The sequence below is a fragment of the Homo sapiens genome, chromosome 20, assembly GCF_000001405.40.
Source record: "Homo sapiens chromosome 20, GRCh38.p14 Primary Assembly".
Taxonomy (NCBI): domain Eukaryota; kingdom Metazoa; phylum Chordata; class Mammalia; order Primates; family Hominidae; genus Homo; species Homo sapiens.
The window spans coordinates 47,773,847-47,801,735 of record NC_000020.11 but is presented as its reverse complement, the minus strand read 5'-3'; the positions used below and the strand labels follow the sequence as shown (position 1 = coordinate 47,801,735).

The 27,889-nt window shown below is 50.8% G+C and overlaps 1 protein-coding gene and 4 long non-coding RNA genes across 19 annotated transcripts in view, besides 3 other annotated features; 2 read left to right on the top strand and 3 right to left on the bottom strand.

The window, feature by feature from the left end:
* Window positions 890-1,509: an enhancer, noted in NCBI's record as "H3K4me1 hESC enhancer chr20:46428971-46429590 (GRCh37/hg19 assembly coordinates)". NCBI's record gives its function as "activates a minimal SCP1, AML or CMV promoter by ChIP-STARR-seq in naive H9 embryonic stem cells {active_cell/tissue: H9 hESC(naive)}" and the evidence as "EXISTENCE:reporter gene assay evidence [ECO:0000049][PMID:30033119]".
* LOC107985401 (uncharacterized) lies at window positions 1,865-9,601 on the bottom strand. Its single transcript, XR_001754648.3, has 2 exons — window positions 9,284-9,601; window positions 1,865-3,279 (listed from the first exon to the last, which is right to left on the bottom strand). It is a non-coding gene; the product is annotated as an uncharacterized LOC107985401 (long non-coding RNA).
* LOC124904921 (uncharacterized) lies at window positions 4,487-14,396 on the top strand. The gene is made up of 3 exons (XR_007067619.1): window positions 4,487-4,578; window positions 4,696-4,792; window positions 14,320-14,396. It is a non-coding gene; the product is annotated as an uncharacterized LOC124904921 (long non-coding RNA).
* A 454-nt stretch (window positions 14,397-14,850) lies between these two features.
* Window positions 14,851-15,982, bottom strand: LOC124904920 (uncharacterized). Its single transcript, XR_007067618.1, has 2 exons — window positions 15,574-15,982; window positions 14,851-15,331 (listed from the first exon to the last, which is right to left on the bottom strand). It is a non-coding gene; the product is annotated as an uncharacterized LOC124904920 (long non-coding RNA).
* Window positions 14,968-15,137: an enhancer, noted in NCBI's record as "active region_18008". NCBI's record gives its function as "activates an Ori minimal core promoter by ATAC-STARR-seq in GM12878 lymphoblastoid cells {active_cell/tissue: GM12878}" and the evidence as "EXISTENCE:reporter gene assay evidence [ECO:0000049][PMID:35858748]".
* Window positions 15,109-27,889, top strand: part of SULF2 (sulfatase 2) — a 129,222-nt gene continuing 116,441 nt past the window's right edge. For 7 of the 15 annotated variants that reach the window (XM_047440296.1, XM_047440295.1, NM_198596.3 and 4 more), the window contains exon 1: window positions 15,109-15,688. The gene's annotated coding sequence lies outside the window, so the exon portion shown is untranslated. Of the gene's footprint in view, window positions 15,902-16,254; window positions 16,394-27,889 lie in introns of those variants that run through there. The other 8 variants (XM_047440300.1, NM_018837.4, XM_047440298.1 and 5 more) reach the window with 2 other exon arrangements.
* Window positions 19,237-19,296: an enhancer, noted in NCBI's record as "active region_18007". NCBI's record gives its function as "activates an Ori minimal core promoter by ATAC-STARR-seq in GM12878 lymphoblastoid cells {active_cell/tissue: GM12878}" and the evidence as "EXISTENCE:reporter gene assay evidence [ECO:0000049][PMID:35858748]".
* On the bottom strand, window positions 22,082-27,646 carry LOC124904922 (uncharacterized). The gene is made up of 3 exons (XR_007067620.1): window positions 27,566-27,646; window positions 27,140-27,296; window positions 22,082-26,991 (listed from the first exon to the last, which is right to left on the bottom strand). It is a non-coding gene; the product is annotated as an uncharacterized LOC124904922 (long non-coding RNA).

The following is a 27,889-nucleotide window of genomic DNA, read 5'->3' as shown; positions in this document are numbered from 1 at the left end:
CTCCACACGGCAAGCTCGATGTAAGTATTTGTTAAATAAAAATATAGAGAATGCATGTAAGGTGCTTAGACCAGTGTCTGATGTGAGTGATGCTTGGTGAGTTTCAGCTGCTCTGACTTTTAGTGACAAGGACCAGAGCGTGAGTCGTCCTGACCCCCCTACTTCCCTTCCGTCCATGGTAACCCCCAGGCCACATCTCAGGCTCTCAGGGTCGCCCAGACACCGTTTCTCCTTGGAGGTCGCCTTGCTCTCTCTGCTCCCATATCCCACTGTCTGCCTCCTCCAGACACTCTGTCTCCCACACATGCGCACACTCTCACGCCCAACATACACACTCTCACACACACATACATACATTCTTACACACAGGCTCACACACTCATACAGTCTCACACATACACACACAGACTCATACACACACACACATACACACAGGCTCATGCTCACATATACAGGCTCACACACATACACAGGTTCACATACACCTACACTTACACACATTCACGCACACATACACGCACACAGGCCCCAACACACCTACACTCACACATACATTCACACACACATGCATACATACACACAGGCTCATACACTCACATACACACATACACACATTCACACATGTACAGACTCACATACACCCTCACTCTCACGCACACAGTCACATACACATTCATAGGCGCACATATACACACACTGTCACCCTCTCACACGCACACGTGTCCCCTGAGACACGTGCTACCCACCGCGTCCTCCCTGAAGCTCCCCCCCCTCCCTGCTGCCCAGATGCCCAGCTTGGGGGCTGCCTGCACTGCCAGGACTCAGCTGACGCCCTGGCCCGGGGAAGCTACTGGGACTCGCCCCTCTGCTGAGACAAAACGGGCTGCACAGGCTCCTCATGGTCTCCCTGCCCCACCCACTCCTGGCTTTGTGCCCTTCCCAGCAGCCATAACCAACCCCAGCCGTCTGCTCAGGCCTCTGGTGCCTCCCCAAACCCAACCCAGAGACGCTGGCAGTGCTGTCACCCTGTCACCAGGCACTCAAGGCAGTGTACAACTGCCCCCAGGCAGGCTGGACTCTGGTCTCAGTCAGAACCCGGAGAAAAGGCCACAGACTCCACGGGGCAATGGAAAGAAACGGATGGACCAGTGCTAAAAGGCTAAAAGGCGACCAGCTCCCACAGTGCGGCCTGAGCCGTGGAAGGACAAGGGCCACAGTCACACCCATAATCCTCCTTCTCTCTGCTGGAACACCTGGTTGGCCGGAGTCACCCGAGGGGCTTCGGGAGTGCCGTGGAGGAGGAAGCTGCGGTCCACTCTGCTCTTGCACTGGCTCAGCACAGACCATGGGCTCTTCTGAGACAGCACCAGGCCAGGCTCAGAGAGGGCCAGGACTCTGTTCCCACAAAGCACCGGGGCTGGTGGGGGACCCACCTGTCAACAGTCAATAGCAGAGCACCAGCATGAAATAATCCTGGAGTGGGGGTGGCCCCAGCAGGAAGCCCTCAGCTCCCACTGGGAGTGTGTTGCAGGGGGTGGTCGGGGACTCAGGTGGGGTGGGGGGGGTGGTGTTGGAGTCAGGCCTCCGAGCATGAGCAGGACATTGAAAAGAAAGGAGGGAAGAGGGGTGGGGTGGGAACAAAGCCAGAGCCAAGAACGTACTTAGTGGGAGCGAGAAGGCGGCTTTGGTGGATAGAGTGGACAGGGAGAAGTGAGAACCAGGTTAGAGAGGGGCTGGAACCCAGAGGGCAGAGGCCTGAGATGCCCATGGCAGAGCGTGCACTATGTCCCCTTGATTTAGGCATTGCCTGCCACCTGTCTCATGGAGGGCAGCCTGGGATGGCATTGAACACTTTAAAGATCAATTTATTTTTTAACTATATAAATTTATTTCAACAGCAAACTTTATATGCTTAAGTTTATTGGAAAACATTAAGTAGAAACCAAAGCAACATCATCAATTGCAGGTAGGTACATACGACGGCCTACCAAAGACACTAGGCCCAAGGCTGGCTCTTTCTTGGTTCCAGATGGAGATGAACAGTGTTGGAAAGGTGTTAAGATTATTAGCACCAAACTGGGACTCTTCTCCTTGAGACAATGGACTGGCTTTCTAACCATGTGTCTCCATGTTATGGCAAGAAGATCTGAGTCACCCAGTGTCACCTGTCATCATCCCCAGGGGAGCAGATGCTGTTCGTGCCCTCCACATAGCCCTGGAACCCTCCAGCAGGCTCAGAGCCACTTCTAACTGCCAATATCTTCTTCTTTTTGCCTGCAGGCTTTTGTCCATGACCTCAGCAGTCCACTCTACCCACACCTGTGGCAGGTGGGAGGTGCCAGGGGATTAACACTCACCTCCAACAACCCCCAAGTAATAACTCATAGGAGTTGGTGTATAAATACCGCCTGTCCCTCGCTCCTGGGATTCCTCTATTGTGTGTGATTTCTCCATGGGACTGAACTCCAGCTGTCCTCTGCACCAGCTGGCTGAATACTACGCCCTGAATTGGCCTCCTCCCTTTCCTGTTGCGCTTCCTAAAGCCCTGCCAGAGCTTCCTGAGGTCACCTCTCAAATAAACTACTTGCTCTCAAATTCTTGTCTCGGAATCTGCACCTGGGACAACCCAAACTAAGGCATCAACCATCAGTGACATCTGTCCCACCCACCCTCAAGGTCAGACCCCAAACCTGAGAGACTCAGTCCAAAGAGACCCAGAAGACAGCTTGGCCCTTATAACTAGATGAGAAATCAACCCAGAAGAAGCCTGCATGGCAATTTATAATGGGAGGGGTTGGATTTTTCTGTGAAATATTTTCATATGGCATTGATTGCTGACAGTGAAACTAGAATGAAATCAATCAGATCTGCAGTTGGAAAAGCTCACTCTGGCTCCTGTCGTGAAACGTGGATGTGGGCGGTGCCCTGGTCTGCACAGGGAGCTGGGTCGGGTACCACTGCAGTTGTCAGAGGTGACTGGAGGGGTGGCCGCCCTTGGCAGGTATTTAGGAAGGACAATCACAAGGAATTTGAAATGGATTAAGCCAGGGAAGGAGATTGAGGAGGAGGTGATTTCTGACTTATAATGGATAGAAGTGGCAGTCACTCCAAAGGCAAACACAGCAGGAGGAGCAGGTTTGGGAAGGAAGGTCAGGAGTTCAGACCCAGGCACACTGGCTTGAGTTGCCTTCAAAACATCCAGGTGGAGATGTCAAGATGTCTGTTGGATAAATGAGACCGGAACTCAGAGGAGAGGCAAGAACAACAGTGACCATCGCCCTGCAGACATAAATGAGGGAAAGGGTGTGGATTTTAAGAGTCGTGTATGTATGTTTCTTTTTTCTTTTTTTATTTTTATTTACTTGTTTATCTTTTGAGACAGGGTCTCACTCTGTCGCCCAGGCTGGAGCACAGTGGCACAATCATGGCTCACTGCAGCCTTGACCTCCTGGGCTCAAGCGATCCTCCCAGCTCAGCCTCCCAAGTGGCTGGAACTACAGGCACGTGCACCCATACCCAGTTAACCTATGGTTTTGTTTTGCTTTTGGCAGAGACAGGGTTTTGCCATGTTGCCCATGCTCAAACTCCTGAGCTCAAGTGATCCACCGGCCTTGGCCTCCTCCCAAAGTGCTGGGATTACAGGTGTGAGCCACCAGGCCCAGCCATGTTTCTTAAAAAAAAAAAAAAGTTTAATTTTAAAGAAGTTTATTATTTCATTTCTATGGACATGGAAAAAAATGTTGAGTTATGATACAATATACAAACATAAAATTTACCATCTTAAACATTCATTTATAGACACTTGAGTTGCTTTCACCTTTTGGCTATTGTGAATAACGCTGCTATGAGCATGGGAGACAAATCTCTCTTCAAGTCCCTGTTTTTCAGTTCTTCGGGGTACATACCTAGAAGCGGGATGGCTGGATCATATGGTGATTCTATGTTCAATTTTTTGAGGAACTGCCATATTGTTTTCCACAGTGGCTGCACCCAAAGGTTTTACGTTCCCACCAACAGTGTACAAGAGTTCTAATTTCCCCATAGCCTCACCAACACTTGTGATTTTCTGGTTTTTGACAGTAGCCATCGTAAAGGGTGTAAGTTGGTCTGGCCAAGGTTTTTGAACTACAGATGTCACAAAGATACAGAGCAAGAAAAGGACTTATGCAACATCATAATAAGCCAGGGAGATGTTCTGGTCATACCTACATCATTATCAACCTCATGAACTTGGATCAGTTGGGGGTGCTCTTGGCTACAAGTAGCAATGTTATGAAAGCATTTGCTGTCTTGTTAATAAGAACTCCCTGGGCTGGTCTTTTCTGCTCAGTCAGGCTCAGCCGATTGGTGACAGTGACATTGCCCTTCCTGGCCATACGTTGACTCTTCAATGCCATGCATATGTGCGCTCAGGACCACACATAGAGCAGCAGGAAGGGGGCATGAGGCAGGCCCCCTCCTTCCAAGATTCTGGCCTTTTTAACAGGAAGAAAGTGACTTCCCCAAAACCCAGCAAATACTTCCTGACATCTCATTGGCAAGAAGCAGTCAAGTGCCCACGCATATGACTGGCGCAGGGTAAGCGGTGCTAGTTAAAGCAGGGATGGCTGGGCCCCACCCACAGAGTTTCCGATTCAGTGGGACTGGGATGGGGCCCAAGATTTGGCATTTCTAACAAGTTCCCCGGTGATGCAGATGCTGCCAGTCCAGGGACAACACTTCGAGGACCACTGGCTTCAGTGATCTTGAGCTGGGTACGTGACCACCCAAACCAATCAAAGGGAAAAAGGAGGTAGGTGGTGGAAAATACAAGACTTTCTGTCACAAACTCTGTGGAGCTCACTTGTATCTTTTTTGCTCACTAGACTCTAGGCCCCCTGGGAGCAAGGGGTCACGAAAGTCACCTTTTTGGGCCTTGGGGTCTTGATACAGTTACTGTGACTTGGTGGCAACTTTAAACAGATTTTTCAAATGAGTGGATAAATGAACATGTCACCAAAGATGTCCAAGGCTGCTGCACCCTCAAGTCACCTTGATCAAAACACCCTCCTGGAACCCATGCAGGCAGCCTCCAAAACACAAAGCAGGCTGGGCACAGTGGCTCATACCTGTAATCCCAGCACTTTGGGAGGCCGAGGTGGGCAAATCACGAGGTCAGGAGTTTGAGACCAGCCTGGCCAACGGGGTGAAACCCCATCTCTACTAAAAATACAAAAAATTAGCTGGGCGTGGTGGCAGGCGCCTGTAATCCCAGCTACTCAGGAGGCTGAGGCAGGAGAATCACTTGAACCCAGGAGGCGGAGGTTGCAGTCAGCCGAGATCGCACCACTGCACTCCAGCCCGGGCGACAAAGCAAGACTCAAAAAAAAAAAAAAAAAAAAAAAAAAACAACAACAACAAAAAAAAAAAAAACACAAAACACAAAGCAGCCCCTTCTCTACCAGGACAGCAGCTCCCCTACAAAGCAGCTCAGGTGTCTTCCCTGTCAGCCTGTCCTCCCGGGGAGGCTGGCTCCCTGCTCTGCAGTGACACTGCAGGGTCAGAACTCAGCCTGTGGATAACCCAAGAACAATGCCTGTTTGGGGGTCTTCACCGCTGACACAGAGAGCCTGTGGCCATCCATCCCAAATAGTGTCTGTTAGTTGCCCACTGGGATGTGGTCCCTTGTTGAAGTCAAAGAAACAAGCCCTTAATTCACTAATCGCCTAAACAGACACCACCGGCTGAGAACTCCAATAGCCAGGCGTGTGATGCCTTATGACCCTGAGTGAATGCAGCTGCAAACAGCCAGTACCTGTTACATATTCCTTAGCCACAGGGGAAACTTCTGGAAGGTTGCTAGCATGGAATATGATTAATGAAGAAGAAAATGCCTTATCCTTCTGTTCTACATTCACACTCACATGTGATCCACGCAGTGGTCCTGAAAGGATCCAAGGCTGGGGGAGATCTGGGAGTCCGTTTACCGACAAGGATCTGCTACTCAGAGCTGACGTCCCATATATGTGCAGTGAATATTCAATCAGCAGTAGCTGTGATACTCATAAATCACTCGCTCTGAGGTGAAGGGGAACCGACTAGGATAAGCCAGGCTCACCCCAGAGGCCTCTGCTGCAAGCCTGGTTGGCAGCCCAGCCCTTGTGGGTACCAGGACCTGCCAGAGCCACAGACGACCGGATATAAGCACAAATTGATGAGTCACCCAAGAGCCATCGCAGGGTGAGGACAGACCTGGGTGCCAAGTGGGCAGCGATTCCATCAAGTCCTGGCAGAGGACCAGGCTGTGACGGACAGAAGACACTGCTCAGGTCAGACTCACGTGGCAAGGCAAGGTCTTGCTGGAAGGCAGGCAAGGAAATGCTCCAGCAGGAGCCCAGCAGAGACCGGCCCTGGGTGCTGATCAGGACCAAGCTGGCCCCAGCCTCTGTCCAGGGTTGTACAGGGCTCAGGGAGCTGCGCCAAGGTGGAACAAGAGTAGAGGCCGGGGGCGGTGGCTCACGCCTGTAACCCCAGTACTTTGGGAGGCCGAGGTGGGCAGATCACTTGAGGTCAGGAGTTTGAGACCAGCCTGGCCAACATGGCGAAACCCCATCTCTACTAAAAATACAAAAATTAGCTGGGCGTGGTGGCGTGTGCCTGTAATCCCAGCTACTTGGGAGGCTGAGGCAGAATTGCTTGAACCAGGAAGTCGGAGGTTGCAGGGAGCCGAGATCACACCCCTGCACTCCACCCTGGGCGACAGAGCAAGACTCCATCTCAAAAATAAATAAATAAATAAAAGAGTCAAAGCCCTGGGTCCTCTTCTCCCCTGTGTTAGCCTTACTATGTGTTCTTGGGGGTGGTGCTTCACTCCTCTGGAACAGTGAGCCTCACATACCTGACTCTGGGCCATGCAGGGGCCAGGCTGGGCCTCCTCACACCCACTGACTCCCTGCTAGCAACCCCAGTTCCCATCTCCCATCCCCCCACCCTAACTTCCAGGGCAGATAGGATGTATGCACTGGGGAGTGGACACAGTGCTCTCTCCAGCCAGGTGGAAATGGGACCAGCACCTCCCTCGTCACCCCCTCCCCAGACACTGTCCACAGCCCAGATGGGCTTTCATGCACCTCGGCAGCCGGCCTCCCACCCTCTCCCCACCACCGCAACCAAAACTGCTTCTGTGGATGCCTACTGGCATGTTTTGAAGTTACCTACACATTTATTTCAGGGTCAACTAGTCCTGAGCACCTCTGGGGAAACCTTATACCACTCTCCTTTTCCCCCAGGACTCCCCAGGGAGCGGGAGTTCTCAGCCCTGGCGCAGGCTGGAGCCACCTAGGCAGCTTTGAAAACCACCCATGCCCGTAAGGGATGGAACTGGGATGCTGAAAATGTTCCAAAACCAGATGACAGTAATGGTTGCACAACTTGGGACATTTAAAAATCATTCAATGGTACACTTAAGATGGGTGAATTTTATGGTATGCAAATTATACCTCAATAAACTTGTTTTTAAAAAAAAAAATACCCAGGCCTGGATCTATCACTGAACCATTAAATCAGAATCTCTGATTTGGGGCCTGGGCTGAGATTCCTGCTCTGGTGTCACCGTGGGGACATCTCTTTCCACTGTCACCATCACTCATTCACCCTGGGAGAAGAGGAGTGACCCCCCGCCCCCCCCGCCGCCCCAACTCATTGATGGGCATATCCATTTCCTAGAGCAGTTATAACAATAACCATGAACTGGGTGACTCAGAACAGCAGTAATTGACTCTCTCATAGTTCCGGAGGCCAGAAGTCCAAAATCAAGGTGCCAGCAGGGCCACACTCCTCCAAAGGCTCCAGGGAGGGTCTTTCCAGCTGCTGGTGGCTGCCAGAAGCATCACTCTGATCTCTGTCTCCTCCTTCACATGAACTTCTTCCCTGTATCTCTACGTCCCCACTCTCTCTGTCTCTTTTTTTTTTTTTTTTTTTTTTGTGAGAGAGTCCCGTTCTGTCACCCAAGCTGGAGTGCAATGGCGCAATCTTGGCTCACTGCAATCTCTGCCTCCTGGATTCAAGTGATTCTCCTGCCTCAGCCTCCCTAGTAGCTGGGATTACAGGTGCACACCACCAAGCCCAGCTACTTTTTATATTTTTAATAGAGGTGGGATTTCACCATGTTGGCCAGGCTGGTCTCAAACTCCTGACCTCAAGTGATCCACCCATCTTGGTCTCCCAAGTGTTGGGTTTACAGGCATGAGCGACCATGCCTGGCCCCCACTTTCTCTTCTTAGAAGGATACCAATCATTGGATTAGGGTCCACCCTAATCTAAGTATTACACCCTCATCTTAACTATCTGCAGCTGCAAGGTCCCCAATTCCACATAAGGTCACATTCTGAGTTTCTGGATTGGCATGAATTGGGGCGGGGGGACACCGTTCCACCCAGTACAGTAGAAATGCTAGCTGAGTCAACTGCATTAAAGCCGGTCATCCCATTACCTATATTACATACACACTTTCCTGGGTAGACTACCTTATTTATTTCCAGTTAAATGCAATTTTTATCGTCAAAATTTCCAAGACTTCTGTTAGTTTCCTAACTGGAGTGTAGTGGTGCGATCTCAGCTCACTGCAACCTCTGACTCCCGGGTTCAAGCAATTCTCGTGCCTCAGCTTCCCGAGTACCTGGGACCACAGGCATGTGCCACCACACCCAGCTAATTTTGTATTTTTAGTAGAGATGGGGTTTCATCATGTTGGCCATGTTGGCCAAGCTGGTCTTGAACTCCTGACCCCAGACAATCTGCCCACCTCGGCCTCCCAAAGTGCTGGGATTATAGGCGTGAGCCACCACGCCCAGTCCTAACTCATTTTTTTTTTATTGCAGCTTTAGCTGAAAAGCATCTTTACCTACATGCCCCTGCATATGGACATCCAGTACCAAATATTCTCTTTTTAAAAATGTACAGGCTGCTGGGTATGGTGGCTCATGCCTATAATCCCAGTACTTTGGGAGGCCAAGGCAGAAGGACTGCTTGAGCCCAGGAGTTCGAGACCAGCCTGGGCAACGTAGTGAGACCTCATCTCTACAAAAAAATCAAAAAAATAGCCAGGCGTGGTGGCATGCACCTGTGGTCCCAGAAACTCAGGAGGCTGACGTGAGAGGATCATCTGAGCCCAGAAGGTCGAGGCTGCAGTGAGCCATGATTGCACCACTACACTCCAGCCCGGGCAACAGAGCAAGACCTTGCCAAAAAGAAAAAAAAAGTACAGGCCAGTAATAAGGTAAAATTCACAACAGAGTCTACCTACCAGAGTGGAGTGGGAGGGAATCCGCAGAGTCAGACCTTTGCCAGCGGATTCACTCTCATTTAGCAGAGGGAAGTCTCTGTTTGTCCTCTTCTCTCCAGGTTCCCTGCCTCGGCTCCTGTGTGAGCTTCCAAGGGCTGGTCTCAGGGGTGAGAATCAAAATGTCTAACCACAGGCCCTGACTCATCAGCCCAGATGCCTGCTGTAAACAACCAGAGCTTTTTCCAGGCAAATGTTGACCTAGCTGGTCTCACACAGGGCAGCATCAGCACTTCCAAGAAGTTCTCCCAGGGGCATTGTGCTTGGAGACAGTTTCTGTGTGAGCCTGTGAACAGCCAGTGGTGCTTAAAATCATGGGCCTCTGGCCAGCCTATTCAACATTAATCGTAAGTGCTTATGAAAGGTTGGCGTTAGATGCCAGATTCTGTTCTACGCTCTTGGTATATAAGCTCATTAATAACTCGCAACAGTCCTAGAAGGTGGAGAGATGATTGTCATTGTCCCTATTTGGCAGGTGAGTTTAAGGAACACAGGCCCACAGTAACACACAGTTGGTGCGTGGTAGCACTGGGATTGAAGCTGTGTGGATTTATCTCTAAAAACTAGGGTCCAGTCCCTCCATTTTACCACCTCTTCTGTTTGAAAACATCACATATGGGATATTCATTCCTTCATTTAACAAATATCTGTCGAGTGTCTACTCCATGCAAGACAGTGTTCTGGGCACTGCAGCTACAACAGTGAACAAATGGCCACGGCCCCTGCTCTCCTGCAGGTAGTGTGGGTGGGGAGTGGGGAGGGGGACATAGACCGCAGTCACAGACAGAAAATAAAACCAGAATTTCAGATAGTGGTATGTCATAGGAAGACGCTAAAATGGGGAGGGAGGATAGAGTGATTGGGAAGCATTTTTAGGTGAAACAGACAGGGACAAACTCTCCCAAGGGGTGACATTATGCTGAAACCCAAGTAATGAGAAAGAGTTTTTGGAGCACAATCTGGGGAGAGAGATGCCAGGGAGAGGCCACAGAAAGTGCAAAGGCCCTGAGGCAGGAAAAGGCTTGAGGAACAAAGTGAAAGATACCTTTGTGTCTCTGTGAGCAAGGGAGTGATTACGGAATTACTGTTCCTTTCCTTTGGTGTGATAATAATAGGGAGGTCACCTGGGAAAACAACTGATTCTTAGGAGATGCCTGCCCAAGTCCTGAGGGGTAATGTGTCATCATGTCTGCAACCACCTCTCAAATGTTTCTGCAACTTATAAAGCACACATGGCAAAATATTAGCAACTGTTGATTCTAGGTGGAGAGTATAAGTGTGTCCACTGTACTATTCTTTCAACTTTTCCATGTGAAATTGTCATAATAAAAATGGAAGCAAGACAGCAGCGAAAGATGTTGGAGTGCCAGGCAGGAGCAGGATCGCGTCTCCATCTAAGAGGAGGAGATTTTAGGCTGAAGAGTGGCGTGATCTGGTTTCCTTTGGCATCATTGCCTCAACTGCCCTGGATTTCAAAGTCTGGCTTTGCAGACCATGAAGGAGTATCTCTCTCAGGAGCACAAGACAGCATGTTTCCAATTCTGATTTAGTGAACACTCATTGTGTACCTTCCAGCCAGGCGTTGTGTGTGCGTTTTACCTTTATCAATCTCACTTAATCCACATGACAGCCAGCAATGTCCTCGATATTATCCTCATTCTTAAGATGAAACTGAGGCCCGGGAAGATCAGCCAAGGAGGGGCCAGACAGTGGAGGCAGAGCCTAGGTTCGTTAGAAACCTCAGCCCTGGGGGGGCCCTAAGTCATCATTCCACTTTTACTAAATCACCATCAACATTCATCATAATTGATTAATTAATTATGATCAAAGCTTAAAGGTGATTTTTCTGAAATACGATTGCAAAACTAGATGCACTGTTCCAGAGAGAGCCCTAAAGTGAATTGCACTAATGGTCAAATGGATCCTGCTTTTCCCCCTGAGAAAACTATCATCCAACAGAGTTCCAAGCACTCTCCCTTGTCCACAGAGATCTGCAGCTGTGCTGCCTGGGGCCACATTACTCATTTTAATATTCAATTGCACATTTGCTGATGCTGTCTGTGTGCCTGGATTTCATCACATCACAAAATATGTGGAACCCACATCTTTAATCTTTCTTGCCTGCTTATCCAAAGGAAAACCACTAGTGTGGTAAGCAACTAGACAAATTGTCCTGTTATCTGCGTTCTTAGAACAGTATCTTAACTGGAGGCAGCCCTACTGTCTTTCACTGGTAAGAATTCAGAATAAACATCATCATTCTTTGAAATCACTCATAAGCAGCCCCCAGGAGACTGCAATTATACCCGTTTATAATTCTCCTCCCTCCCAAACTAACCCTTGATTCATAAATGTGCACTTTTCGGCGTCAGGCGTTAGAATAAATTAGACTATACAATTATGTATAATTAAAGGGGAAAATGGGTACCGTGCTGCAAAGATTAGCCGTGTTTTGCTGAAGTAAAGCATGTCTGTGTCAGCGTGCTGGCCCAGGGAGGCAGCATGAAATACAATTAATGTTCTTCTTACTTAATGGGGGTTTATGGTACTGTTTTTCATTATCACAGTATCTCAAGAAATATAAACAGTTTTTCTCTAACGCAATTGCATTTCTACTGACAACACAGCTTGGGTCTAAATGAAAATTCAGCAGAATTAACCACAGGTTTATATTGTTATGGATGATCCTGGAATCTGTATTTTAAAAGCCATGCAAAACTGTGTGCACTCAGGAGCCGAGAAGTTTGATCTCAACCTCCTGAGAGTGGTTCTGCAGCCTCTTCTGCTCTTGTAGAAGCAACTTACAGCCAAACTTGTGTGCATTATTAAAGCCACCTGTGCCCCAGTACTACGGCTAGCATTCCCAAGCCTCCCGTCTGCAGCCATGTTCCTTCTTCTAACGTTTCTCCTTTACACGCCAATTTGTTTGAGACATGTTAAAAGCTTGACTTTTACAACCCTCATAAAATCCCATCGACTCCAACCCAAATCCAGCCAGAAGTGCTCGGACAATCAGATTGAGTTTCAACCACTTGATGGAGATAAAGAAACACATAGCAAGAATGATTTTTTTTATTGTTATATATGAGTCAAGGGAATAAAACAGCAACTCCGGCCTTGCAAGGGAGATAGAACCGGATGGCTGTTCTGCACAAAAGGGCTGCCAAAGAATCTGCAGAGGGAAGAAACGAGGCATGGAGGCGTCAAGAGAAAGGTCCCCCTGAGGTTAAATCAACAATGCTGGGGAGAATGGGGCGGCATGAGGAGCTTGAAAAGCTTGATTGTCCAGCTAGGATGGTCAGGATCATACCAAGAGATGTCATGGGGGATGAGGGATGTGGGAGGAGAAAAGCTGTCTCCGTGTGGGTGGAGGCGGCAGGGGCTGGAGTATCAGGAGGCCGTGGGGGTGCCCAGGATTCTGCTGAGCCCCACCGAGGCCCGGCTGAGTGACTTCCCAGGCTGGGGGACATGTGAGCCCTCGGGGCCCCTCATGTATCCCAGGCAGACACTGAGCTCCAAGCTCCGTAACGGGGCCTGCGGTCCCCACCGGCCTGGAAGGACCTGGAAAACAGGCTGAGGCCTTGAACCCAGAGGACCAGGGAGTTTGCTGGGAATTATGGGGAAGAAACACGGCCAGAGGAGCTTTGCAGACCCTCTGACCTCATGGGTGTCTGAGCCAGTAAGTCCAGACTAAAACGCATGACCCATAGCACCTGCCTACAATGAACACACACATACATGCTCGGACACACAGGTACACATGCATGCACACACAAGATCTGTCCCCGTCTACTTAAGGAAGGATAAGGGGCCAACATAGACGTTACCATGTTTGGTAATGTCCAGCAACAATGGAAACAACATATCCAAAAAGATAAGCAAATGCCACGTGTCCGCCAGGCCCACAGCCCCAGAAGAAGGGATTGTAAGCATCCCCTCTCTGACTGGGGTTACCTGACGAGCAGAGAAGGATGGAGTGAAACATTGTGGGCAGGATCCTTATGGGTATGGGAGAGCCATGTTCAGGAACTCGAGGACCTAAGGGCACAGTGTGGTAATGCAGTGGGGTTTTTTTTAGACTTTTTTTGCCGTGGAAATTTCCCCACCCCTGAAATATTCTCCAGAACCCAACATAAAAAGTAGGAGGGAGGCAGATCCCATTCCTGGGCCTCCCTCCACCACCCCAGGCCCCAGAAGCACCACCAAGGGGCCCTGAGGATTCAGTAAGAAAATTGCTTCTGCAGTGGGGTACATGTCCCCAAACCAGGGACAGCATCAAAAGGGTTGAAATCCCACTGGCCAAGTTTTTGACTATAGGCAAGACCCTTTATCTCTCTGAGCATCAGTTTGCTTGAAAGATTGTCAGGAGGATTACATGAAATGACCCGGTGGAAACAGCCATTGACCGCAGAACCTGCCAGAGTTGCACTGTCCAGCATGGGACCCCTGAGCCACATGTGGCTGGTCCCAATTGAGATGTGCTGTAAGTTTAGAATGTACACCAGATTACAAAACTTAGTAAGAAAAAATAATGTAAAAATATCTCATTAATTTTATATTGATTACATGTTGAAGAGATCGATTTTGGATATACTAGGTTAAGTAAACTATATTATTAATATTAAAATTAATTTCACCTGCTTTTTTCAGACAGGGTCTGACTGTCACCCAGGCTGGAGTACAGTGGAACAATCATGGCTCACTGCAGCCTTCACCTCCCAGGCTCAAAGTGATCCTCCCACATGAGCCTCCCGAGTAGCTGGGACCACAGGCACATGCCACTATGCCCAGCCTAATTTTTGTATTTCTTGTAAAGATGGAGTTTCACCATGTTGCCCATGCTGGTCTGGAACTCCTGAACTCAAGTGATCCGCCCACCTCGGCCTTCCATACTGCTGGGATTACAGGCGTGAGCCACTGTGCCCGGCCCTCACCTGTTTCTTTTTACTTTCTAATGCCACTACTAGAAAATTCTAAATGATATATATGTCCTTCTGCAGAGATGAGGCGGAAGGAGAGGGGTCTCCATTATTTTTCGGTCTATGATGGTGAAGCCTGACATTCTGTCCCAGGGCAAAGAAGGTGGGAGCTGTTCAGCCTTATCAGTGATGCCAAAGGTAGGGCCAGCACCTGACTTGGAAAAGCAAGTGCAAGGTTTTTCTGATTTATTTAGGCTCTAACTTGATTGGCGTGGCTAACAGAGGTTATGGGGAGGAGCCTAGAGCTCCAAACCCAGTCAGGAGATCCGATTTGAATTTCAGATTTAAAAATGAATGATTTTTTAGTACTAACTTCCTCCCCGTGGATGTCTATATTTATTTGTTAAGTCTGACAACTCTACCATGGAGGATCATATCAGAGAAAGGAGATGCTAGGTTGAAAAGTAAAAACATCCTAGGATTTAAGAGCATGAGCCGGGAGCTAAGGCTTCTTGGCTTCACAGGATCCACCACTTATAACTGTGTGATCTTCGGACAGTTACTAAACCTCTCTTGGTTTCCATGGTAAAACGGGCATAGTAACTTACTGTGTGAGATTGTCACAAGATTTAATAAGTTACTGCTGTTTACAAGTGCTTTCCCACAGCGGCGTCTGTTTCCCCTTAGCTAGCAACTCGGCTGTGTTTTCTGCAGCTGCTGGTGAGTTCTCTGCCCGCTCTTTGCCCACCCGCGTCAGGCCGGTCCCCCTCCGGCCTCTTCTGTGGCGCGAGGGACAGCGGAAACCACGGTAGACAGCACCCCCTTGAGTCCAATTCCTCCCCTTTCGGAGGAAGCCGGTTTCTCCTTTCTATGCTACTCCCGGGCCATTTCTGGACAACAGCTGCTATTTTCACTTGAGCCGAAGTTAATTTCTCGGGGAGTTCTCGGGCGCGCACAGGCAGCTCGGTTTGCCCTGCGATTGAGCTGCGGGTCGCGGCCGGCGCCGGCCTCTCCAATGGCAAATGTGTGTGGCTGGAGGCGAGCGCGAGGCTTTCGGCAAAGGCAGTCGAGTGTTTGCAGACCGGGGCGAGTCCTGTGAAAGCAGATAAAAGAAAACATTTATTAACGTGTCATTACGAGGGGAGCGCCCGGCCGGGGCTGTCGCACTCCCCGCGGAACATTTGGCTCCCTCCAGCTCCGAGAGAGGAGAAGAAGAAAGCGGAAAAGAGGCAGATTCACGTCGTTTCCAGCCAAGTGGACCTGATCGATGGCCCTCCTGAATTTATCACGATATTTGATTTATTAGCGATGCCCCCTGGTTTGTGTGTTACGCACACACACGTGCACACAAGGCTCTGGCTCGCTTCCCTCCCTCGTTTCCAGCTCCTGGGCGAATCCCACATCTGTTTCAACTCTCCGCCGAGGGCGAGCAGGAGCGAGAGTGTGTCGAGTGAGTGTGCGTCTGTGTGTCCCGGCGAGGGTGCGCGCTCGGCGCCGGGAGCGCGGCCAGCCGAGTCCGGAGGCATCGGGAGGTCGAGAGCCGCCGGGACCCCAGCTCTGCGTTCACTGCCCCGTCCGGAGCTGGACTTCGGGGCCGGGGCCGGGGCCGTGCGCCGGGGACAGGCAGGGCCGGGTCGCGGGCCGCGCGTCCCCCAGGCCGGAGGTAAAAGCGCTAGCGCGCGGAGGGCTCGAGGAGGGCACCGCGGCTGGGCCCCCCGCGCCCCGGGCCCCAGCCGTCCGCGGCTCCCGGCCCGACGCTCCCCGCCCCGGAGCGCGCCCGCCTCCCCTGCGTGGAGGCCGGCGGGCAGGCGAGCGGGGGGCGGTAGCGCCGTGCCAAGGGGCTGGCTGGGGCAGCGTGGCCGGCCGGGCTGGGGCGATTTAAGAGCGGTCCGGGCGGGGTGCGGAGCCGGACTTTGGCTGGGGCGGCGCGCGGGGAGGGGGCCGGGGGCGGTGGCGGCGGCGTTGGGGGGCGGGGAGGAGGCAGGAGGAGGAGCAGCAGCGCTCGCCGGGGGATGCAGCAGCGGCAGCGGCGGCGGCGGCGGCGGCAGCGGCAGCGGCGGCGCGGAGTCCCCTGCGCCCAGCGGCCCGGCCGGGCTGCGGCAGAGGCGGCGGCGGCGCCCCGCTCCGGGTGAGGTTGCCGGGGCCGTGCGCGCTGGTGAGTGGGGCGTGGGGGGCAGGTGGGTGGCTGGGGGACGCGGGGCTCGGGCGGGGGCTCGCGGCGGCCGGAGCCTTCCCCGGCGTGAGCCCGGCCGCGAGCGCCGCCCAGGTGAGCCGGGGCTGGTCCGGACCGCCCGGCTCCAGCCCCAGCGCTGCTTGCGGAGGTGGGTCCGGGCGGGCGGGAGGGAGGCTCCGGCGCCGGCCGTCCGCAGAGGGATGACCTGTTTGACCCCGCTGGCTGGCGGGCGGGCGAGGACTTCCCGCCGCGCCCCTGACCCGCGGACACGGCACACCGAGCACAGGCGGCCCCGGGTAGGGGAGCGCGCCTGGGCCGGCCATCCGCAGGGGCATGGCCTTGTTGACCCTTAGGGTTTAGACCCAAGGGACCGGTAGATGCCAGCCCACGTGGGGCTTGTCCGGGCAGGACTCGGGGAAGCAGTGGGCCGGATCTTCAGAGTGGTTGGAAACTCGCAGACACCGAAAGGACAAACAGGATCGAAAAGGCAGACTTCCTCCCAGGCCAGGGCAGAACGAGTTTCCATCGCCTGGCGGAGGGATGCTCCCCTCCCCGGCTCCTCGGGGTTTCAGAAGTCTAGCGGTGAATTCTAGGAGTGCACTTTTCCAAACATTCCTTATAGTAGTTCGTTCATTCGTTCTACAAGCATTTCTGGAGCACCCCCTCGTGCCGGGCACCGCGTTCTGTTCCAGGGAAACGCGGCTGAACAGGATCTGGCTCCTGCGCGCCAGAAGCTGCCGGTTCACTGGGAGGGCAGCAGGGTAGAGAGATGCCGTCTCGGGGTGGAAGATGGAAAGGGAAGCCTGCAATCCTAGTTTGCACACTGGCCTCGGTCCGCAACTCCCCCACCTGCACGCAGTAGGCCCAGCACACAGTAGGAAGAGCAAGCCAGACCTGCCTGTGACGACCCTCTCCTCCTCCTCCTCCCCCTTGAAAGCTTTGATTCATTCCCTGCCCCCCTTTCTGGAAAGTCTTCCTGCAGCTTGTTTTAATCACTTTTTGAGTTAAAAGTCAATATTTAATTAACCAAGTAATTACATTCAGCTTACGTTTCAATCTGGGTATTTGCTCATCTGTGCGTGTTGGGACACCCGCCCTCTCGCCCCTCCATCTGTCCCCTGCCTGTTTCCCACCGGGTCCACCCCCACTTTTGGGGCAGAGAAGGGGAGGCTGCGCTGGAGCAGGTTCTCAGGGGGAGACAGGGAGCAGGAGAGACGGGCTTTCTCTGGAGGACACCCCCGGATCTGCGCGCTCTCCAAATTTCAGCTTGTAGTGAATAGTGAAGGTGATTTCTTGACAGCCTCTGCCTCCCATTACAGAACCACCAGAGGGTTCTAATTAAATTAGAGCCAATCGTTAAGTATAGGAACGGGGTAGGGAGGACAGAACGAAGGGGGCCCCTTCCCTGTAAGAGATGTTCTCCCCAGCTTCGTCTCTCCCACATCATAGAGAAGAGAAAACTCATCCAGACAGCCTGTCGGATGTGTAATTTAGCGTTCTAATAAGCAGCTTGAAAGGCGAAGGTGGTGGGCTTGGCAGATGGCATGTTGGACCTTTGTACATGAAGGCCTCTTCCTTCCCCAGCTAAATTTATATACATAAAGGCCGTGATGTTGGCATCACTGCTGCAGCTGAGGGTCAATGTGGGTTTGGGGTTTGGGCTTTGTGTGTACTTCTTGGGTTTTTTATTTGAATTTATGGCTTTTTCTGAAACCCTAATAACATGTTAAATTTTCAAACTTGAGAGTAGAGTGATGAGTTGACTGTAAAAGTCTGGTCTTGGAGGAGGACAGCATAGCAGTGTGTGTGCATGCACGTGCATGTCCCCCAGTTCAGCTGCTGTCCAAAGAACCCAGTTGATATGCAGTTTCACACCTGATTTGGACCTGATTTGGGAGATAACATTTCCTTCTCACTTTTTCTGGCACTGGTTAGTTTATCTGCTTGGACCTGCCTCAAGAGGGCAGCTGGGTTAACCAGGCAGAATATCACCCAACTCTGTCAAGCTTTGGCCATTATCTGACCTTAGACTTTAGTCCTGCAGAAGGAGTCCAGAAGCCCTGTCCTACAGAAAAATATCAGCATTTCTGACCAGCTTGTAGTTAAAAGAAAAGGTTTAGTCCAGACTTAAGATAATTGGTAACACTTAAGTAGTTTTGTATGGGCCTGATCTGAGGCATTGATCTAAGCCCTTATACCTTACTCATTAAATCCACACAAATACCCTGTTAAGTAAGTACTGCCATTGTTGCCATATTAAAGATGAGGAAACAGGCACAGAGAGGATTGTGACTTGCCTACAGCTGGTCACAGGTAGAGCTGGGATTCAAGAGGCCCTCAAGCTCCGGGGTCCACTTGGAACCACTGGACTCTCCTCCATGACCTTGGCCTTTGTCCCAGATGTAGAAGAAACACATATGCAGGGGAAGAAAACACCTTCAGACAGTCAAACTTTGCAAAGTAAAAGGCCCTTAACTTTCCATAAACCCCCACTGTTCCGACAGAGAGTCCGGGTTTGTATTTGAGGTTTTTTGCCCCAAGGAAAACATGTGTCTGCCTGGTGCTTTTTCTTCTGCTTATGAGCAGACACACTGTCCCCTCCCCCAGTCAAAATGCAAAGGGAAACATCAAATGCAGCTGATGGAAAAGCCAGGTGAACCATGGTGAAGATTTCAGCCCACTCAGAGCACAGTGGCCAGAGAGCAAAAGCTCTCCTAGAGGTGAGACCTTCCTGTGGTTGGTGATGGAGTCTCGATGGCCTGGCCCTGGGGGTGGTGCCAGGGTGCTCTGTGTCAGGCCTGGGCGGATGTGGAAGATGGGGGCCTCTCTCAATGCTGATCTGCAGGTGAGGGGGCCCTCCCTGAAACCTGCTTTCTCTGGGCCTCCTTGGAATGGGCCTTGGTGGAGATCTACAGACAGCCCTGGCCCAGCCGGATTGAAGGCACTGTCTAATTGGGAGGGCATTAAGATCGTTATAATTAATTGGCATCCCGATAAATGGCATGGTTGCCTAATTGGGGTGGTTGCTAGGGAACGAGGCCTCACTTGGAGCCTAAAGGGGAAGAAGCGCTGGGCTGGCCACAGTTGGGTGTCAGGGTACAGATCCAGCAGTGAATGGACCGGAAGGGAGAGCAGTCCATCCGTATCTGCTGGTGTTTACTGAGCAGCTGCTGTGTGCAAGTTGCAAATGGAGTATCAGTTAGGGGTACTTGCCTAGAAGAACTGTAAAGTAATCAGGTTCCTTTCTCTTGCAAGCAACGGAAAAAGAGAAGAAAAAAACTCAAGCCAGCTTAAGGAGAAAAGAAGTGGACTTACTGGTTTTCATAACCAAAAGTCTTAAGGTGACTAACTCTAGCTTCAGACACAGCTGGACCCACAGCTCAGATTTTGTAATGAGAATCCATTCCTATCCACCGCTCCTCTGCCTTCCATGAGGCTGATGTCTCTCCAGCTCTGGGGCGGGCAGTCCCTGGCAGCTGTGGGCACCGTGGCTAGGAGAGCCAGACTGCCTGGCTCCCTGCCCAGCAGTGGGATCTGGGGCATGCTACTTAACCTTTCTGTGCCTTGATGTTCACATCCAACAAATGATGATGATCATAGCACCTGTCTCCTGCTTGTGGTAAGCATGAAATGAGATGATCAATGTCAAGTGCTTAGCAGGGCGTCTGACCCAGGTGAGCCTTCAGTAGGCATTGACTGTTACCATAACTTAGGTGTCAGGACAGATGTCATGGAGCAGAGGGGTCTCATCCCCTCTGGTTTAAGCCCAAAAGGAAAGAACAAGCCTCTGATCTGGCAATGCACACCTGAGCCCCATGGTTCCCTCTGATTGGACTGTTTTTTGTCCAAACCAGTCACTGGCTAAGGAAATGAGTTGCCAACAATTGGCTTAAGCCAGGCTCACAGGCCTCTCCCTGGAGCTGGATGGAGGCTGACTGCTGAGACCCCAAAGCCTGGAATAAAACAGCACGGGGAGTCCCCAGTGAAAGGGAAGCCCGGTTGCTGGAGAGGCAGATGGCCAGTGCCTGCGATGATGGGCCACTAATGTGAGCAATGCTGGCCAGATGGACCCATCTTCATTTTGGCCAAGGTGGAGACTGGGGAAACACGCTGCCTGGGCAATGCCTCTCCCTTCCACCAGGGCCAGGAGGCATCAAAGGCCTGACTTTTCTGCCTTACTGTCTGAAGGATGGGGCCTGGCCTTGATCCTGTGCTTTCGGGGGGCCAGGGGCAGTGTTTGTCTAACCTCCCACCATGAGAATCATCTGGCTGTATTTGTTTAAAAAGGCAAAGACCAGATCCTGTTGAATCAAACTTCTAGGGAGGGTCCTGGATGCTGGGGGGCATGACCAATATGTCATGTGTATATTCTATATCAGCAGGAGGGTTTGGCGAAGAGAGCTCTGGAGCGTGGGCCTCTTTGTCTTCCTGCCTAATGCAGGGGCTGTCAGAAGGCGGGGAAAATGCTCTAGGCCTGGCGTGCTGGCTCATGCCTATAATCCCAGCACTTTGAGAGGCCGAGGTGGGAGGATCCCTTGAGGTCAGGAGTTTGAGACCAGCCTGGCCAACATGGCAAAACCCTCTCTCTACTAAAAATACAAAAATTAGCCAGGTGTGATGGTGCTTGCCTGTAATTCCAGCTACACAGGAGGCTGAGGCACCAGAATCGCTTGAACCCAGGAGTCGGAGGTTGCAGTGAGCTGAGATCGCACTACTGCACTCCAGCCTGGGCAACAAAGTGAGACTCAGTCTCAAAAAAAAATTTAAAAGAAAAATGACTGCATGATGTGATGGGGTGGGAGGCAACTTTAGGCAGGCTGTCAGGGAGGCCTCTGTGAGGATGTGACCTTTGAACTGTGACCTAGATTTTAGGAAGGAGTCCGCCTTGGAAAGATCTGGGGGAAGAGCATGCCAGGTAGAAGGAACAGCTAGTGCAAAGGCCCAGAGGCGGTGGGAGGGGCCTGTCCAAGACACCTGCCCCAAACACAAATAGAAGTCAAGTGGGGTAGGCCAGGCGTGGTGGCTCACGCCTGAAATCTCAGCACTTTGGGAGGCTGAGGCAGTTAGATCACTGGAGGTCAGGAGTTCAAGACCAGCCTGACCAACACGGTGAAACCTCATCTCTGCTAAAAATACAAACATTAGCCAGGTGTGGTGGCACGTGCCTGTAGTCCCAGCTATTTGGGAGGCTGAGACAGGAGAATCACTTGAACCCGGGAGGCAGGGGTTGCTGTGAGCCGGGATCACACTTCTGCATTCCAGCCTGGGCAACAGAGTCAGACTCTGTCTCAAAAAAAAAAAAAAAAAAAGTCAACTAGGGTAGAGGGTCAGGAGTAAGTGGGGGAGGGCACGTCAGAGATGAGAAATACAGGCCATGCTAAGAAATTTTAGACTTTATTTTAAATAAAATGGATAACTGTCTGGACGCGGTGGCTTATGCCTGTAATCGCAACACTTTGGGAGGCCAAGGCGGGTGGATCACCTGAGGTCAGGAGTTCAAGACTAGCCTGGCCAACATGGTGAAACCCCATCTCTACTAAAAATACAAAAATTAGCCAGGCACGGTGGCGCACACCTGTAATCCCAGTTACTCGGGAGGCTGCAGCAGGAGAATCGTTTGAACCCAGGAGGTGGAGGTTGCAGTGAGCTGAGATTGTGCCATTGCACTCTAGCCTGAGTGACAGAGCAAGACTCCATCTCAAAAATAAATTAAAAAATAAAATGGAGAACCATTGGAGGGTTTTAAGTCAGAGAATGATATGATTTGTGTTTCAAGAAGATCCTGCTGGCTCCTGTGAGAGGCGTGCTGTGCAGATGGAAGTGGTATCACCGGGACTGTTAGGCAACAGAGAGGGCCCGAGAGTGGCTTGGACCGTGGTGGTATCAATGGAGATGGAGTGAAATGGGGATTGGAGATGTATTTTGGAGGTAGGGCCCACAGGACTTCCTAGTGGATTGGATTACAGAGTGAGGGAAAGGGCTTTGATTCTCAACCGAGGGTGATTTTGACACCCAGAAAACATTTTAACACTATCCGGAGACAGTATAGGTTGTCCCAACTGGGGAAGGGTTGCTACTGGCATCTAGAGGGTAGAGGCCAGGGATGCTGCTTAACCTGCAATGTACGGGATGACCCCACAGTGAAAAATGATTCAGCCCAAATATTCATGATGTATCCTGCCAAGGAGTCAAAGGTGACTAGGCAGCCTGGTGCGTGGTGATTGCTAAATAGGGAAGATAGGAGAGAAGGTTTTGGGGAGGAGGAGTGATCTGGAATTCCGACGTGGAAATGTTGGGTTTGAGATGAACCCCACCTGGATGTCTGAAAGCTCAGTGGGTGGTGAACGTGGATGTCTGCAGCCGGTCGGGGCTGGCAACCTAAGTTTGGGAGTTATCGGCATATTGATGTTATTTTAAGCTGTGGGACTGGACACAATTATCCAGAGAGAATGTGTTTTGTTTTCTAGTGTGGTTTTCTCCCCCCAGCCTCCCCCTAGTGCCTGTCATGAATCTATTTGATGAATATTTTTAGCATATCCCACATGCTCACCTCTCTGACATTTCCAAGAAGTTCCTGAAGGCTCGGGCTGAGCCTCCCCTTCTTCATCGCCTGGTTTCTCAGTGATTAACAGACAGAGCTAAATATTCATTGCTCTGCCACAGATGCCCTTGGGAAATTGCTTAAGGTCATGTGGGATCTCGGGCCTTGTAGGCAGCACGATGCCTTCTGGGTGGAACAGCTGTTGGCATGGCCTTCAGAGCTTCTCCTCCAGCCCAGGCCAGGGCTTCTTGGAATTCTCTGTAACCAGAATGTTTTGAATTCCCCACGTTCTCTTAATGTGATTCCAAAGCACACGTTGCCCAGTGGCCCTGGCCTCTGCCATGGAGCGTCATCTTACAGAAGGCCTGGCCCACTGCTCTGCACACCTGGGCCCAGCTTGAATCTTAGATAAATTCTATCCCAAACTCAGAGTTGTTATGGCCAGGTCTTGTGTGTGTAAGTTGGTGGACAGGGCCATCCCCAGGGACCACAAATAGTACCAAAGATGTGTTTGGCCATGTGGAAGCCAGATGTGTTAGGGGAAGAATGTGGCCAATAGCTTTTCTTATTGGCTCATGGTCAGGACCCCAGCGGGTGACTTGACCCACCCCAGTAGCCAGAGAAGAGGAGCTTTTTTGTTTTTGAGACAGGGTCTTGCACTGTCATCCAGGCTGGAGTGCAGTGGCACAGTCTCAGTTCACTACCACCTCAACCTCCCAAGCTCAAGTGATTCTCCCACCTCAGCCTCCCAAGTAGGTGGGACTATAGGCACAGGCCACCATACCCAGCTAATTTTTTTTTTTTTTTTTTGGTAGAGATGAGATCTTGCTATGTTGCCCAAGCTGGTCTCAAACTCCTGGGCTCAAGTGACCCTCCAAAAGTGCTGGGATTACAGGCGTGAGCCACCCTGCCTGGCCTGGAACTTTTTGAAAAGAGATTGAAAAAACTGTTAGCTCACAGAAGCCTTGGAGATGTTCCTGCTTGGTGAAAATCAGACCATCTGAAAGCCACATTTCTGGTCTGCTCTCGAGACAGATACTATCCATAGACTTCTGATTGCAGGCCACTTATCTGGATATTTCAGAGACCAGGAAAGCCTACTATAATTCTTAGTAGCTTAGAGTCCTGATCATTTTAATGTGAATTGAAATGGTTTCATTATGAGGAATCACATTTCTGACTGACAGTGGCTTATGCAATAGAAACATTTAATTCTCACATAACACCAAGTCCAAAGCAGGGGAGTCCAGGCGCTGGTTTTTCAGTACAACAGTGTCATCCAAGGTCCCAGGATCTTTCAAGCCTCTTCTTCTGTCCTCATCATGTCTTTGGCCTTGTTGCCTCATAGTCTCAATATGGCTGCCACAGCTCCAGACGTCGCATCACCCTACAAAGTGGGACTATAGGACAGGACTCCTTGCTGTCTCTCTTTTAATCAGAGAGTAAAATCCTTGCCAGAACACTCCCACCCTAGCAGACTTTGCTTTCTGTTTCATTGGTCCGGAGTTGGGTTTTGCACTCACCTCTAAATCAAACACTGGGAAAGGACCTGGCTCCTTCCTATGCTTCGGATCTCAGCTGAAATGTCACCTCCCTAGAATGCTGGAAGGACAACCTGTTTTATGTTTTATAACACTTATCACTCTCTGGAATTAGCCTGGTTTGCTTATTTGTCCTTTGTCTTCTCTCTCCTCACTAAAAAGCAAGCTCTGTGCTTGTAGGGACATTGTCTGTCTTGTTCATCGCTGTATCCCCAGCACTGAGAACCAGGGTGGCACTCTTTGGATACTCAGTAAATTTTTTTTTGAATGAAGGAAGCAAGAAAAGAAAGAGGCTTGGAGAGCTACAGGCACATCTGGCTAGCATGTTTGCTCGAAGGTGACTGCTCAGGGCAAGGATGTCAAAACCTGTTAGTCATTTGCAAAAAGCTAAGCAGGTGGCTGGGAGGATTGGTTTCATACACACTCACTTGCTCCCCAGTGCCAGAGCTGGGGTTTTGTGCTAGCATTGCTTGCAGAGGAAGGATCGTCCCCTTTATGCCACGGCAGGGACCTCACGGCCTTGCAGAAGGGCTGGTGGAACCCTCCACTTCTGATGACTCTGGGGCCAAGCTAGTCTTCCAGGTCAGTGGTGTGACATTCTAATGAGGGCTCTTGGGTTAAATATTTCTGCATGTGCCCTTGAAAAGACAACTCCCTTCCCTAAATTGTCCCTTCCTGAAAGAACAGCGGTCACAGCCCAGGAGAGCAGCCTCTTTAACCTCCACTCCCCAACCTACCCTCCTGAAAGCTCACATTTACCGAGCACTTTGTACAGGCTAGTGGTGGTTTAAGTGCGCGCTCCTGTGAATGTGGAATAACTCAGCGATGTGGGGATCTTCCAACCCCGTTTTACAAAGGAGGAAAGAGACACAACGAAGTCTCTCCTTGCTCTGCCATGCTGGTAGAATAGGACATCACAGGCCACCTAACCAGGGGCTCTGTTCAGCTCGCAGAAATGTTTTGTTTGAACCTTCTAAAAAGCTGTCAGATTTGTAACAACTACGAGATTTCACATTTTAAAAATCTGGATTTTCAGCTTCTCCTGAAAAATGGGGAGATGTGGTCCCCACCATCCCCTATAGCCTGACATTGTGAACCAATTCATTTGGCTTTTCATTGCACTTTCCCTTCTGTTTTTCTCATTGTGGAGCAATATTTCTCTGTTCCATCTCTACCAAAAGTGGCCAGATGAGAGCTGGAGAGGAAGTGGGGTGTGGAGTTTTCTTATGCGTCCACTTCACCCGTTTACATTATCTGCCTGGCCCACGTAGGCATTTGAGTTTGTCTCCCGTTGTGACACTTTGTACCCAATGGCTACACTTCCAGGGACATTGCAAGTGTCCCTGGACACTTACATTGTGCATTGCAAGTGTGTAGTAATAATAATGTCTAATATCTATTGATTACTTTTTGCCCAGCATTTCATCATCACAGCAAGCCTTTGAAGCAGGGACTAATATCATCTTCACTTTATCAGTAAGGAAACTGAGGCACTGTGTGTGATGCCCTCACTAGAACAGGAGGTCCTGAAGCTTGTTCATCTTTGTACCATCTGTGCTAGGCTTACTGGCTGTTTGAATGAATGACTAAAGGAATGAATGAATGATGTTCTCCTCCAAGTGTTCATTAGCCGAAGAGGCTGAAAGTCTTAACCTCATAGTCATTTGTGACATTTCTGTTGGGGGAATGGGCTCTGATCAGTGTCACTGAGGATTCTTGGGTTGTGTTTCTGCTGTATAACAAACCACTCCAAACTCAGTGGTTTAAGGTAACAACATTTTATTTTGGACGATTCTGTGGTTTGACCAGGTGGTTCTTCAGCTTCATGTGATATCAGCTGGCAGGTCTAAAACAACCCCATTCAAATGGCTGGCAGCTCTTGCTGGTCACCAGATGGGAGCTCAGTTATTCTCCATGTGGGCTCTGCCCTATGGCTACTTGGGCTTCCTCGCAGTATGGCAGGTTCAGGGTAGCCTGACTTCTAAGAGTGCAAAAATGAAAGCTGCCACGGTCTCTTAAGGCTTAACCGCAAAACCGGCACAGCATCACTTCTGCCACCTTCTCTTGGTCAAAACAGGTCCCAAAGCCAGCCCGGTTTCATGAGGTGGGGCCCACACAAGGGTTTGAATACCAGGCAGTGTGGCTTTTTGGAGTCCACCAAAGTACCCATTCATCACAGACTGCAAGTAGCAGAGCCCAACACTTACTACCTCAAGCTGGAACAGGATTTACTGGGGGGCTCAGGAAAGGACAGGTCAGGAACTGAGGAAATTCTGGGGACCTTGGCGCAGGAGTTACTAGCAGCCTCCTGAAGGAGAGTTTCCATCCCAATGCGACAAATGCACCCCTGCTTTTTCTTTCTGCCCTTGACACTTTATTTGACAGTTGGGGACATGGTAAGAAAGTCTGATTGACCTTGGTCACATGATCACCCCTTGGCAGAGAGGATGGGGGCATCTTGGCAGAGGGGAGGGAGTCCTCAAAAGGAAGCTGGGGTGCTGTCAAAAGAAGGGGACCAGATGGACAAAAATTGTTAGAAATCTCTGCACCGCCCCTGCATAGGTGACTCCACCCCTGGCAGAGCAATGAACATTTTAAAACGAGTGAATGGACTTTGAAAGTCCAGTATAAGTAGAATGCCCAAACCTGTGTGGCAGCTTCTCCAGCTCCAGGGCCCCATAGCTCAGGTGCTGCTGGGGGTCTGGAAGCTTCTCTCCACTTTACGGGGCAAAGTCAACTCCTAGAACCCCTGCCATGCCTCAATATCCCCCTCCAGAAGATAGGGGCAGTTTGCTTCTGGCTCCTGAAAGGAGAGCATGCGCGGTAATGAGGGACCTGGGCTCAATGCCTGCACTCCCTCCTCCCAGACCCCGCCTCACCAGTGACACTGCCTTCCACCCCAACACCTGGTGACACCCAGTGAGTCCCCGCAGCAGGGGAGGCTGCTAGTAGGAAAAACTGATCCAGACTAATCTCAGCTCGCAGAGCCTCTGACCCGGGCTTTCCTCCCACTTGCCGGTCTATTTCCGGCTGCTAATTAGATTGCACAGCAAGCCACATTGGGAAGCCGACCTGTCGTTCCAAAGGCACTCCACTCGCATCTCCAAATGTAGCAGGTGATTTGGTAAAAGTTGATTCTGACTCCTTCCCCCAGCTTCTAAAATAATTGTAAGTGTCGGGCTGTTTCCAAGGTGAACTAATGAACAGCTCATCTGCTAATAGCAGGGGCAAGCTGGCTGAGGACGGCACGCTCGCCTGTGGATTGGGTGAAAAGGAAAGAAGTAATTGGATTATTAATACCAAGCCGTCAAAATACCTTTTATTCCTTTTATATTCTTCTGGAAGGAAACGACAATCTCTGGAAACATAAATACATGTTCTGTGGGGGTAAGCAGG